General features: G+C 37.2%; 1 protein-coding gene across 20 annotated transcripts in view, besides 1 other annotated feature; it reads right to left on the bottom strand.

Moving 5' to 3' along the window:
• Window positions 1–15,153, bottom strand: part of ZMYM4 (zinc finger MYM-type containing 4) — a 153,350-nt gene that overhangs the window by 32,510 nt on the left and 105,687 nt on the right. For all 20 annotated transcript variants that reach the window (XR_246305.5, XR_007064889.1, XR_007064890.1 and 17 more), the window contains 7 exons: window positions 8,116–8,290; window positions 7,791–8,003; window positions 3,957–4,107; window positions 3,360–3,475; window positions 2,271–2,546; window positions 1,945–2,095; window positions 467–639 (listed from right to left, as the gene is read on the bottom strand). Coding sequence is in view for 17 of the 20 variants with exons in the window: in XM_017002803.2 (XP_016858292.1) it covers window positions 467–639; window positions 1,945–2,095; window positions 2,271–2,546; window positions 3,360–3,475; window positions 3,957–4,107; window positions 7,791–8,003; window positions 8,116–8,290 (1,255 nt within the window). In the remaining 3 variants the exon portion in view is untranslated. The remainder of the gene's footprint in view (window positions 1–466; window positions 640–1,944; window positions 2,096–2,270; window positions 2,547–3,359; window positions 3,476–3,956; window positions 4,108–7,790; window positions 8,004–8,115; window positions 8,291–15,153) is intronic.
• Window positions 3,214–3,414: a silencer, noted in NCBI's record as "peak172 fragment used in MPRA reporter construct". NCBI's record gives its function as "represses an SCP1 promoter by STARR-seq MPRAs in K562 erythroleukemia cells {active_cell/tissue: K562}" and the evidence as "EXISTENCE:reporter gene assay evidence [ECO:0000049][PMID:32103011]".

The following is a 15,153-nucleotide window of genomic DNA, read 5'->3' as shown; positions in this document are numbered from 1 at the left end:
TCTCCTAACCTCATGATCCACCCGCCTCGGCCTCCCAAAGTGCTGGGATTACAGGCGTGAGCCACCGCGCCCAGCTGATTTTATACTAATTTTTTTTAAAAAACACATGTAACATACAGACTTCACTCTATAGCAATTAAAAAACAAAGTGAAATAAAAATAAGGTCTATCTTCCTCAGACTTCAGAAGACAAATTCACTTTATTTAAATAATAAGTGAATAAAATTATAAGTTTAAATATTTTAATGTCTTAAGACTGATATGTCTCCTACAGGAAATTAAAAACAAAAGAAAACTTCAATAACATTAAAGTCTTTCTAAATCTTATATTAATTGCTAGAAGGCATAAAACATTTAATACTTAAAAGTTTTAAATAATTAAATTGTCCTTTATGTGACATGAAATTTTAAAAGGGAATAATTTATGCCCTAGAATGAAAAACCCAGGAATGTGAATTCTATTTACCTGATAGAACAAAACTGTATATTTGGACATGCATTCTTCACAACAGAACTCTTCCACTTTCCCTCCTAAATTATTCTGTACCAATTTGGGAGATGTCTGTAAACAATAACTGCACATTTTACAGTGATTTCCCCAGCGTTTTGCCAAGTCATGTTTATAAAGCAATTTGCAACCTAAAAATCAGGAAAGATAAAATTAACATTAGGTAGAAGTATTAGTTTTCTGCAACTTTAAATGGCCTAGGACAGGCCCGGTGCAGTGGCTCACACCTGTAATCCCAACACTTTGGGAGGCTGGCGGGAGGAGTGCTTGAGCCCAGGAGTTTGAGACCAGCCTGGGCAACATGGCAAGACCCCATGTCAAATAAAAACAAAAACAAAAAAAAGAAAAATAAGTGGTCTAGGACAAAGTTTTCACACTTGGGTCCTGACCAGTTCACAGAGTATCTTGATTTTTTAGAGTATCTATACTAGTTTTTGTTTTGCTTTGTTTTTGTTTTTGTTTTAAATGATATAAGACAGGATAGCACAGAAGAGAAAATATTAAACTGCATCGATTTTATTTCATGAAACTTTTGGGGCTGGGCGTAGTGGCTCACACCTGTAATCCCAGCACTCTGGGAGGCCAAAGTGGGTGGATCACCTGAGGTCAGGAGTTGGAGACCAGCCTGGCCAACATGGTGAAGCCCTGTCTCTACTAAAAATACAAAAATTAGCCAGGTGTGGTGGCGGGTGCCTGTAGTCCCAGCTACTCGGGAGGTTGAGGCAGGAGAATCGCTTGAACCCAGGAGGCAGAGGTTGCAGTGAGCCAAGATCGCTCCATGGCATTCCAGCCTGGGTGACAAAGCAAGACTCTGTCTCAAAAAACAAAAACAAAAACAAAAAAAACTTTTATTTAGGTATGTGAAAATATACTGGGTCACAGTGTAAATGTATTTCTTCTTTGGTGTTATCAAAAGGTTTGAAAGCCCTTGCTCTAGAAGGCTAATACAGCTTTAGAGTAAAATAAAACATTATAAACATATAGAAGAGTTATCTAAGGAAAACAATCTTCCACATATTAATTTGCATATTCAAGCCATTTATATTCAGAAATATAATGGCTGTTTAAGACAATAAAAGTATAAACTTAGAATGTTACCATAATTTAAGGCATCCCATTTAGAAATAAGTACACGAACTAGAAGCTCTTTGAGGTCCCGATCAACCTAATAATGGGGAACCTAAGGATGTTAAATGTTTTTCACATCATCTTCTTCTGCATTATACTTTGCAAATCTTTCACTTCATTTTAACAGCTACATAATATAAGAAAACTAGATCAAAAAAGAATGAACTAAGTGTAAATGAATCGAAAAGGCATTTACGTTATACATAAACAATAAAACAGATTAACTTAGACAGTGAAAGCTTAAATCATCATCAACTGCTTTAAAACAACCAACATGCTCAGTAGGTAAGATAATCTTCTGTCTTTACCTTCACTACAGAATGACTTGTCAGCACCTGAGAACCGAACAGTCTCCTTTACAATTTTCTCAATTTTACAATATTCACACATTGCCATTACATTATTTATTTTCTTATATTCATCAGAACAATTCTTGCCACAGAACTGAAACATTTTGCCCTGCAAAGAAATAATCATTAAGTACTAATTAAACATTTGGTTTGTCTTATGGAACTCCTTATCTCCCTTACTTTCAAAACAAATGGTATGATTTTGAGAGATGCAAAGTTAAAAATAATTTTACAAATAGACCCACGTATACTCAAAATCTTATCATGAACATGCTATACTTTACCTTATAGTCAAGAAGTTCTGGTTTTGTGGCAAAAAGACGGTTACAGTGTTGACATTTGAGTTTCACAACACTTCGTGCAAACCCAACATGCTGGGACTGGGCAGCGAGACGCTGGAGACCAGCTGCAGCAGAGCTACTGATGGAGGTGGGAGAAACAGCAGATGTGCTACCTCCTCCGGCTGACACTGTGGAACCTGTGGGGATGCTTACAATTACTTGGCCCTGAGACAAGGGCACTACTGAAGAATTCATTCCAGTTGGTTTGTTGAATAAATTCTGGAAAAACAAAACAACAAAAAGTATCAATTTAATCTTTGTTAAAACAAAGAAGTATTGTGTGCCTACATATGCCAAGCACCGTTCTAGGCATGTAAGGTACATCTGTTAACAGGCAATGTTCCTGCCTCTGAGCAGCTTATTACGGAATGGGGGGAGTCTCATTTATGATGAAAAAATAAAATAACTTAACTAATAATCTTCCTCAAAAATAATATCCTCCCAATAGATAATATGGGTGATAAAAGTACCATTCAATTTTATAGAAGGCAGTTAAATTAAATTCCAAATACAGAATGAACTACAAATCCAAGTTTAATAGGAATGATATAGAAACTTATACAACCCAGGCCCTAGCAAACACCTAATAAATGTGCATTACTATAGTAGGTGATAGGTTTGAATTCGTGTCCCTGCCCAAATCTCATGTCCAGTCGGTAATCCCCAATGTTGGGGGAGGAGCCTGGCAGGAAGTGACTGGATCATGGGGGTGGATTTCTCCCCTGCTGTTCTGGTGATAGTGAGTTCTCACTATCTGGTTGTTTAAAAGTGTAGCACCTCCCGCTTCTCTCTCTTCCTCTTGAGCCCATCATGTAAGACGTGCCGGCTTCCCCTTCGCCTTCCGCCATAATTGAAAGTTTCCTGAGGCCTCTCCAGCCATGCTACCTGTACAGCCTGTGGAACTGTGAGCCAATTAAACCTCTTTCTTTATAAATTACCCAGTCTAGGGTATTTCTTTAGAGGAGTGCAAGAACAGACTCATACAGTAGGTGACTCACTGACTGAAGAAGAGGAAGGTTCCTGAAGCCATACCTGGAAAGCTACCACACAGCTGTAGCTGCAGAAGTTGCGTATACTTCCATCTGACATGGCTAGGTGATACTGAGGAATTGCTGAGGTTTTACAACTGTTACACTGAACTTGTACACCTTAGCAAATCAAAATAAAAACCAATGAGTAATATGTACAAATGTACACAAAAGTATGAGAAATTAAATAATACTATACAATATAAGAAAATTTAAGAGCCAGGGTAAGTTGTAGGAACTGAAACTAAATCATGTCACATATAGACAAAAACTAACATAATACTGAAAATGTTTCTTTCCAATTTAAATTGGTCAAAGTCTACCCTGAAACTACCAGATAAATGAAACTTCAAAGAAATTAGGTAGGGAAAAAGAAAATATATTAAAGAAGCCATATGAAATTCTTTTGGTAAGGGGGAAATGCATAAATAGGTATGCAAGTAAATAAATAAGCAATCAAGGTAACAGGTGATATTTTACAACAAATATCTGAAATATGTTAAATGTGCCTTAAAAATCAACCAAAAAAAACCGTTAAAAACAAAGCAATAACCATTATTTTTCAACCATTGCATTTCATAGTTTGTGAAACCAATATTACCTGCAGAAGTAACCATTTTAACTCTGTAAGCAGATAAGCAATTAACAGAACAGAAAAGCTCTGTCTTCCCCAAGCTATTGGTATTTTCAATCATTTCTGCTGAGGATCTCAATGATTTGCAAAGCGCACACGGTGTAATTTTGGCTGATTTCTATTAAGAGAATAAAACAACATTCATTTTTAACAAATTCCTAGTAAAAGCATAATTCTTCGAAATGTTTATACTCAACACTTTTGAAATATTTGAAATCAGTGATTTTCAAACTTTTATGATTGTAATCCTCAATAGGAAGTTTCATGGTACACATGTACTTCTGAGATTTTGCATTTGTGTATGATGCATGTATGTAATAAAACTAAAAAGTTTTATAGAGGAATAAATATCATGATAACATGTAATGCACTTTGATATTTTCCAATCTATTCTATTTCATTGAAAAAGTAATGCGGCCAGGCGTAGTGGCTCACCCCTATAATCCCAGCACATCGGGAGGCCGAGGTGGGTGGATCACCTGAGGTCAGGAGTTCAAGACCAGCAAGGTCAACATGGTGAAACCCTGCCTCTACAAAAATACAAAAAAAATTAGCCAGGCATAGTGGCAGGCGCCTGTAGTCCCAGCTATTCAGGAGGCTGAGGCAGGAGAATGGCGTGAACCAGGAGGCAGAGCTTGCAGCGAGCTGAGATCGTGCCACTGCACTCCAGCCTGGCGACAGAATGAGAAGATTCCACCTCAAAAAAAAAAAAAAAAAAGAAAAAGAAAAAAATAATAATGCTGGTTATAACCTAGTAATTAATTTCAGGGTCTATTAATAGGTCATAACCACAGTTTTAAAAACATTAAATAACAGCAAGTTCATGCTTTTATACTATATCATCCTATAAATTGAAATAACCCCCTCCAAAGGTGCTTGTAAATATGAATTTAAGGAAATTAGTAACCTTATTAGGCAACTTATTGGCAAATATTCTACCACTAATAATAAAAAAAATACTCCATAAGCGTAAAGTAAGAGCAAACCTGGGATATCATCACAGGTGTCCAAATACAAACAACCAGAGTCCGTTATCTTAAGTCTTCACCCAATTAGGGATTCAGCAGCAAATAATGCTAAGTATTATTAACATGTCACACATTCAGGATAATTTTTAAAGTACGTCCAGCACCAATTAGGAGATTTTAAGAGCAATCTTCCTTCTTAAAGAATCAATTTGTAAAACTTGATATTAAAATAAATACACAGTAAAGTGAATATATGCCTGAATTCTGGAATGTCTTCTAAATCTCTAACCCCATTTCCCTCTCCTCCCTAATGAGGACTGTAAAAGCAAACCTCATTTGTAAGACCCAGATCAAGAGTTACCTCTGTGAAGCTTCTGCTGATAGTCTCATCTTTCCCTATCAAGTAGAGCTCACTATGCTACCTCTGTGGCCCACTGTACCCATAATACTTCCATCATAGCATCTCTATTTACTCATTTATACGTCTTATCTTTCTCAGGAGACAGGCAGCCCCTCAAAACAGAAATTATATCTAATGTTTGTTGAATGAATTATATATAAGGAAGAAAGGAAGGTAGCAGAAATGACCATCTACAATGCCTCAGTTACATACTAGGCATTCTTTCATTCTTACTTTCTATAATCCTAAAAACATCCCAGTGACATAGGTGGTATCATAGTTATTTACAGACAGAAAAACTGGGACTCAGGGAGCTTAACTGCTTTCCCCAAGGTAAAACTGTATTTGAACATAAGGTCTAGAATTAAATGTAGATCTGCCTTACTTCTAAATTCCAGTTCTTTCTCTACCACAGCAGATATAATACATGAAAAATTTAATAGGTTTTGACTAAATTAAAAGTAAAGAATAAATTTAAAATTAAGATGTTTCATCCTATTTCTCCCTCTCTTGTGGACTATCACTCATCTTTCAATGGACTGAATCCAGGTAACTTTTAGTACCTGATACAGTATCAGGAAAAGAACAGTCTTTTGGAAAATGACAAAACAATGAAGATGTGGGGATTTTTTTTTTCTTTGAGAACAAAAATAAGGAATGAATAGTAAAACTTAGCCATTATAGTGTGTTTTCACATTAACAGGAAATAAATTGAAACACGCTTAAATTCCAAAATTACTACAAGGTTTTAAGAACAATTAACAAGAATGTTCCTAATCAACGCTATTAAATTCACCAATTTTGGTAAACTGTACAAAAACTTACTATTCTAAGGAAAAGAATGATTAGCAAATGCACTTACATAAAAGACATTATAAAATTAAAAATATTAAAAGTACTTACCCCATAAATATATACACCTACTATGGACCCACAAAAATTAAAAATTAGAAATATATATAGCATTTACTATTCCTTTAGGTTTATCAATTTTAAAACTAATATTTGATCAAAATTCACTAATAAAATACAAATCTAATACACACAAAACTACATAAAAGACATTTGTTATAGAGTTCATCCAGTTCATCCCGTGCACACCTCATCAATTCACAAATATATAATCCACATCTATTTCTTCCTATTTCATAAAGATAAGAAAAATCCCTTACTGTAACAATTAATGATATAATTTTGATTATCTGGTTTGCAATTTTAATTCTGTGAATCAGATTTCAACACTACATATGCAACTTGAACCTTTCCTTGTCAAATAAGAAGTATATATGCAAATCTCACATGCTGGAAAGATTAGAAGGCTATACACCAAAATGACAGGATTTGTTATCTGTGAGAGATACACTGCATTTCTTCATGTTTTTTTTTAACTTTCAAAATATTGTTAAAGAATACAAATCACTTTTGAAATAAAAAAGCCATACTGGCCGGGCGTGGTGGCTCGCACCTGTAATCCCAGCACAGGGATTGGGAGGCCGAGGCAGGTGGATCACTTGAGGTCAGGAGTTTGATACCAGCCTGGCCAGTATAGTGAAATCCCATCTCTAATAAAAATACAAAAAAATTAGCCAGGCCTGGTGGTGGGCGCCTGTAATCCTAGCTACTTGGGAGGCTGAGGCAGGAGAATCGCTTGAACCAGGGAGGTGGAGGTTGCAGTGAGCCGGGATCACACTCCAGCCTGGGAGACAGTGCAAGGCTCCATCTCAAAAAAAAAAAAAGCCACACTCTAAAAACTTGTATTTCAAATGCATAAACGTGTATAAACAAATGCATGAATAAAACTGCTACTTATAGAACTCTGTATGAATATTTAATGCACATTTATTCAACAAATACTACTTATGTATAAAGAATACCAGTTAAAACAAATAGTAAACTCTCTCTATATGTATATATACATATATATACACATACATATTTACATATATATACATATACATACATATATACGTATATATACGTGTGTGTGTGTGTGTGTGTGTGTGTGTGTGTATGTGTGTATATATACATTTTTGTTTTTTTTTTTTTGAGACGGAGTTTCACTCTTGTTGCCCAGGCTGGAGTGCAATGGTACGATCTTGGCTCACTGCAACCTCCACCTCCCGAGTTCAAGCAATTCTCCTGCCTCAGCCTCCCGAGTAGCTGGGATTACAGGGATGTGCCACCACACCTGGCTAATTTTTGTATTTTTAGTAGAGATGGGGTTTCTCCATGTTGGTCAGGCTGGTCTCGAATTCCCAACCTCAGGTGATCTGCCCGCCTCAGCCTCCCAAAGTGCTGGGATTACAGGTGTGAGCCATGGCACTTGGCCAGTAAACCCAATATTGCAAAACAACATTTTCATAAATAATTCTGACTAAAAATACAGATTACCTGAACTGAACAAAGACATCAAGATTAAATATGGTCATGTACCTGCTTGTATGCCGTGATACACGATGAACTACAAAACTTCTTAGACTGTCCCTCTATCTGAAGCATGTGGCATTGTCCCGACCCACTGTAACAGTAACCCCCACAGTTCTCACAACAGTTCATGGTGAGGTTGTTAGCAGAACGAAACTTAGAGAAGCAGGCATCACTGCAAAGTTTATGGACCACATTCTGGTAATTAACTTCATGTCGAATCTAGAAATTAAATAACAGCAACACAAAAACAAGGAGCAGAGAGCATCAAAAGCTGTTCTTTAAGCACAAACGTATTAGACTCCTGCCCCAATAAAGGAAAATGGTAACTTACAACAGCATTCTTCTGACACATGCTGCATTTGGTTGAAATACTATTTGTATTTATGGTAACAATAGGTTTTTTTTTCAGTTCATATGTTGACAAACATGACTGACTGCAAAAATCTTTACTAGTGGTGGTGTTTTCAAACTGGGCACTGATCACATCCTTTGGATTTAAAATGTCTCTAAAAATAAGAAAAAAATAACATAAGCCATGGTATAATTCATTTCTTTTTCCTTTCTGTGAGCTAAAATAACTAAATAAAACAGAGGCAATTATACTGTAGGGAAATAACACTGGAATTTAAGTTTAAAAACTTTAATTTTCTGGGAGACACTTAAAAATTGCTTTGATCCTTAAATTATTTTCTATGAAGTGGAATTAACAGCACCTACTTCATAGAACTGTTATGAGAATTAGTATGTTTCAAAGACTAAAAGGAAAACATCAAATGATTAGCATTCATTATCTCTACAGGAGGGATTATACGAGATTTTTCTTTTCTAGAATTATCTGTATTTTCAAAATATTCTTTAAAAAATACTGTATTACATTTAACATTGTCAAAAATTAGTATCTTTTAAAAGTAAACATACATTTTACACTACACAGTGCATATTCTAGCACAGTTATATAAAATATAACATTACCATATCTAAATAATTTAATTTCTAAGCACTAGTAACAAAGGCATTGAAGATTAAAACCCTAATGATTAAGGCTCCTTACCACTCCAACCCTAATCCCACCAAACCACTCACTCTATAGTAGTTTACCAGACAGTTCAAGTGGAAACCATATTAAAAACCAATTTTTCGGCCGGGCGCAGTGGCTCACGCCTGTAATCCCAACGCTTTGGGAGGCTGAGGCTGGCGGATCACAAGGTCAGGAGATCGAGAGCATCCTGGCTAACACGGTGAAACCCCGTCTCTCTAAAAATACAAAAAATTAGCCAGGCGTGGCGGCATGTGCCTGTAGTCCCAGCTACTCAGGAGGTTGAGGCAGGAGGATGGCATGAACCCGGGAAGCGGAGCTTGCAGTAAGCCAAGATTGTGCCACTGCACTCCAGCATGGGCGACAGAGCGAGACTCTGTCTCAAAAAAATAAATAAATAAATAAATAAATAAAATAAATAAATAAATAATAAAAACCAATTTTTCAAACTGGTGAAATTTTCTAATCAATGTCTCTCTCCCATGAGTATACATCCACATAATAGTTAATAAACTGCTTTATACTCATGTTTGTATCTTAAAGAGATTACACTAGCAGGATACTTTTAAAGAAAAGATTATAGGCATACCTTGTTTTATTGTGCTTCACAGATACTGCACTTTTTAACAAATAGAAGGCTTGTAGCAACCCTGCCTCACACAAGTCTATCAGTGCCATTTCTTAACAGCATTTGCCCACGCATGTCTCTGTATTATATTTTGGTAGTTCTCCCAATATTTCAAACGTTTTTGCTACTATAATATCTGTTTTTCTATGATTAGTGAACACTGATGTTACTATTGTAATTGTTTTGGGAAGTAACCACAAACCACGTCAATGTAAGATAGCAAACTTAATTGAAAATTGTGTGTGTTCTGACTGCTCCATTGACCAGCCACTTCTGTATCTCTCCCACTCCTCAGGCTTTCCTATTCCCTGAGGCATAATAATATCGAAAGCAGGCCAATGAATAACCTCACAATGGCCTCTAAGTGCTCAACAAAAGTAAGAGTCCCACATTTCTCACTATAAATCAAAAGCTAGAAATGATTACTCTTAGTGAGGAAGGCATGTGGAAAGCTAGGCCTCTTGCGCCAAACATTTCACCACATAGTAAATGCAAAGGAAAAGTTCTTGAAAGACTAAGAGGGCTACTCCAGTGAAGACAGGAATGATAAGAAAGCGCAACAGTTGGCCGGGCGTGGCGGCTCACGCCTGTAATGCCAGCACTTTGGAAGGCCGAGGCGGGCGGATCAACTGGGGTCAGGAGTTGGAGACGAGTCTAGCCAACATGGTGAAACCACGACTCTACTAAAAAATGCAAAACTTAGGCAGGGAGCAGTGGCTCACGCTTGTAATCCCAGCACTTTGGGAGGTCGAGGTGGGTGGGTCACAAGGTCAAGAGATCCAGACCATTCTGGCCAACATGGTGAAATCCCATCTCTATTAAAAATAGAAAAATTAGCTGGGCGTGGTGGCGCGTGACTGTAGTCTGAGCTACTTGGGAGGCTGAGGCAGGAGAATTGCTTGAACCCGGGAGGCGGAGGCTGCAGTGACCTGAGATTGCGCCACTGCACTCAAGCCTGGGTGATAGAGAGACACTCCGTCTCAAAACAACAACAACAGAAAAGAAAGCGCAAGTCTTACTGCTGATGTGGAGAGAAGTTATAGTGGTCTAGATAGAAGATCAAACCAGCCACAGCATTCCCTTAAGCCAAAGCCTAATCCAGAGCAAGGCCCTAATTCTCTTGAATTCTAGGAAGACTCAGGTAAAGAAGCTGCAGAAGTTTAGAGCTAGCAGAGGTTAGCTCATACGGTTTAACGAAAGAAGCTATCTCTGGAACATCAAAGTACAAGGTGAAGCAGCAAGTGCTGATGGAGAAGCAGTAGCAAGTTATCAAGAACATCTAGCTAAGACAATTTATGATGGCGGCTACACTAAATAAGATTCTCAATGTAGAAGAAACAGTCTTCTATTGAAAAACGATGCCATCTAGGACTTTCACAGCCAGAGAGAAATCAATGCTTGGCTTCAAAGCTTCAAAGGACAGGCTGACTGACTTGTTAGGGGCTAACATAGCTGGTGACTTCAAGTAGAAGCCACCAGCTTCTACTTTTAACTTTCAAAAATCCCAGGACACTTAAAAGATTCCTTTCAAAATATTACTGCTCACTGACATCTAGTCACTGAAGAGTTCTGATGGAGATGTACAAGAGGTTAATGTTACTTTCATACCTGCTTACCCAGTATCTATTCTGCAGCCTGTGGATCAAGGAGTAATTTCAACTTTTGCAACTCATTATTTAAGAAATACATTTCCTAAGGCTACAGCTGCCATAGATAGTGATTCCTATAACGGATCCGGCCAAAGGAAATTAAAAAGCTTCTGGAAAGGATTCACCATTCCAGATGACATTAAGAACATTCATGATTAATGAGAGGAAATCCAAATATCATCATTAATAGGAGCTTGGAAGTAGGTAACTTCAATCCTCACAGATGACTCTGAGGAGTTTGAGACTTCTGTGGAGGAAATAACTACAAATGTGGGAGAAATAGTAAGAGAACTAGAAGTGGAGCCTGAAGATGCGACAGAATTGCTGCAATCTCATGATAAAACTTGAACAGATAAGGAGTTGCTTCCAATGGATGAGCAAGGAAAGTAATTTCTTGTCATGGAATTTACTCCTGGTGCAGATGCTGTGAACTTTGGTGAAATGACACCAAAGGATTTAAAGTATTACATAAACTTAGTTGATAAAGCAATGGTGGAGTCTGAGAGTACTGATTCCAATTTGGAAAGTTCTTCTCTGGGTAAAATGCTATCAAATATTATTGCATGCCACAAAGAAATATTTTGTGAAAGGAAGAGTCAACTGATGTGACAAACTTCATTGTTATCTTAAGAAATTGCCACAGCCACCAAAACCTTCAGCAACCATCACCCTGAATCAGCAGCCATCAACATTGAAACAAGACTGTCTATTAGTAATAAGATTATGACTCACTGAAGGCTCACATGATTGTTAGCATTTGTTAGCAATGCAGTATTTTTAATTTAAAAATGTACATTGGTTTTTAAAGATTTAATGCTATTGCACACAGACTACAGTATAAACACAACTTTGATATGAACTGGGAAGCCAAAAAATTAATATCACTCACTTTATTGAGATAATTGCTTTATTGAGCTAATTGCTTTATTGAGGTGGTCTGGAACCAAATCCTGAATATCTCTGAAGTATGGCTATACAAATCTCTCTGCTTCAGTAAAATAGTAGATATAATGGGAAATCATCGTTAGGAGCACCTAATATTTTACTATAATACATAACTCCATACCTTGCCATCTTCCATACTTAGCAGCTCTAGACTGCTTTGCTTTTTGCATTTCCTGTTATTTTTAAAATTAGGTTTTAATGTATTTCATAGAGGGATATTTAGTGAGAAGGATATTTAGTGAGTAGTTACATTGAGCCAGACATTAACGAAACCCTTAGTCAAAATATGGTCCACATATGGGCCAGGCGCAGTGGCTCACACCTGTAATCCCAGCACTTTGGGAGGCTGAGGTGGGCAGATCACTTGAGGTCAGGAGTTTGAGACCAGCCTGGCCAACATGGCGAAACCCCGTCTCTACTATAAATACAAAAATTAGCCGGGCATGGTGGCATGCGCCTGTAGTCCCAGCTACTCGGGAAGCTGAGGCAAGAGAATCGCTTGAACCTGGGAGGCGGAAGTTGCAGTGAGCCCAGATCGCACCACTGTACTTCAGCCTGGGCAACAGGGCAAGACTCCATCTCAAAAAAGAGACGTATGTACTTAAGGAGCTCAGAGTTATTGTGACAAATAGACAAATATTTTATAAAATACTGTAACAGAAGCATTCTTAAAATACTATAGGCCGGGTGTGATGGCTCACGCCTGTAATCCCAGCACTTTGGGAGGCCGAGGTGGGCAGATCACCTGAGGTCAAGAGATCAAGACCATCCTGGCCAATACGGTGAAACCCCATCTCTACTAAAAATACAAAAAAATTAGCTGGGCATGGTGGCGTGTGCCTGTAGTCCCAGCTACTCGAGAGGCTGAGGCAGGAGAATCACTTCAACCTGGGAGGCAGAGGTTGCAGTGAGCCAAGATCACGCCACTGCATTCCAGCCTGGCAACAAAGTGAGACTCCGTCTCAAAAAAAAAAGAAGTATAAATAATTTTTGGAGAAGACACGAATAACGTGCCATAAAAATATAAATGAAGAAACAATTATTTCAGACTACATGTAACATGAAATGCAACCCAAAGGGTGATATTTTAGCTGGACCTTAAATAGGAGTTTTCCAGAAAGTTAAGGAGATAAGAATTGGGAGCAGCATGGATCAAGGAAATGGAAGTATAAAATTAGGTATTTTTTCACTGCTCTCACTATGCTTAGAGTCCAATTAGATTACATCTTATTGTGGTAGTGGATTATATCTTATGACAGAATGAGAAGAAACAATCTCATTCAAGTTAGTGAAAATTCAGAAATGGTACAGACAATCTGGGTGTTACTTCTTTGAATATCATTATAACAAGAATCTGATCTAACAGTATTAACAAAATTATCCTCCAAATTACCTCTTCTCTGCAAAATATGAGATTTTTTTTTTTTTTCAAAGATAGTGTCCTGCTGTGTCACCTAGGCTGAAGAGCAGGAGTGTGATCATAGCTCACTGCAGCCTCAAACTCCTGGACTCAAGAAATCCTCTCACCTCATCCTCCCAAGCAGCTGGGATTACAGGCATGTGGCACCACAGTTGGTTAATTTTTTAACTTTTTGTAGAGATGAGGTTTCACTGTGTTGCCCAGGCTGGTCTCGAAATCCTGGGCTCATGCAATCCTCCAATGTTGGCTTCCTAAAGTGCTGGGATTACAGGCATGAGCCACTGCTCCCAGCCAAGACAAATTTTTTAAAACAAATTATTAGGTCCCTATCATTAAGGAAACCTAAAAATTAAATGGCAACCAAAATTCTTTCAGAGTTTAAGTTAAATTCAACAGGCTGAGATATGATTACCAAAAATTAAGAAAAATGAAATTTATTCTGAATAGCTAATGAGCTTCTTCTAACCTAAGTGCTGCTGTTATATTTCTACTGGTATACAACAGTAGCAGTAGTTATCAGAGAGGAAATTTTTTCCATCTCTGCCTGTTCAAATCAAATTGAAACCCTTCTTATGGGGAATGATTTCTAAATGAAACCTGTTTGACTACATAGACTATGTAGAGAAACAATGCATATGCCAAAATTAACCAGCTAGGTGACACAAGCAAATCTTTTACCTTCTTTGAATTTAGCTTCCTTATATTTTTGGTACATCCAACTCATCAATTTTACAATCAGATAAATCAGACTATACCAAACTGTTGTAATCACCGTGTAAATAAGAGGGGATAAAAAAGAAGGAAAGGTAGTGTTGAACAGGAGATTAAAGAGTAGTTCAGAAAGTAAAATGGAATATAAGGAAAAACAAGATTGACAATGGTTGAAGACTGAAGCAAAAAGTAAGTATTATGTAAAATGAGAAGTAGGAGAAAAGTAAGAAAGAAGATGAAGAAGAAAAGGCTAAGGAGATAAGTAAGGAGTACCTGAAACAACAAAAAGGGGTGAACGAATAAAAAAAGGGTAAAAGACTAAGTGAATAAAAAGGTAGAACTGTAAAGAGTCAAGGGATAACAGGTTAAAGAAATGGAAAATTTGGATAATGGATAAACCAAACATGAGAAGAGAACATAATCTTAAAGAGCAATTGAATTACATAAGATCAAGACATAGATAAAATGACACATAGGTAGAAATGACCTGTCTCTAATAAAGCTTAGGCAAACACCAGAGACTGGAGGCCAAAGAAACATGATAAATCTAGATGAAAAGAGTAACATGTATGGACAATAGTAATAATTTTTTAAAACGAGAAAGAGGGCATATTTTAAAACTTACGTGTTTTCCATAGCCATTTTGAAAATAACTGATAAATCTTTAAAAAAAAAAATCTATGACTGACTTTTTTTTTTTTTTGAGACGGAGATGTGGCTGACTTTTTTTAGGAGCTGGGGGGGACCAGGTCTCACTATGTTGCCCAGGCTGAGTCTCAGACTCCTGAGCTCAAGCAATCCTCCCACCTCAGCCTCCTGAGTAGGTGGGACTACAAGTGCATGCCACCATGCCCAGCCTATAGCTATGATTATAAAAGGATAAATATCACTGAAATTTTAAAGACTGTTGATCCCTAGAGTAAGAATTAAATAAAGAAACATGAAGTTATTATGTGAATGATTTCATGGCAAAATAAACA

This window comes from Homo sapiens, chromosome 1 (assembly GCF_000001405.40).
Source record: "Homo sapiens chromosome 1, GRCh38.p14 Primary Assembly".
Lineage (NCBI taxonomy): Eukaryota > Metazoa > Chordata > Mammalia > Primates > Hominidae > Homo > Homo sapiens.
The sequence above is the reverse complement of the archived record's forward strand: the minus strand, read 5'-3'. Positions and strand labels throughout refer to the sequence as shown.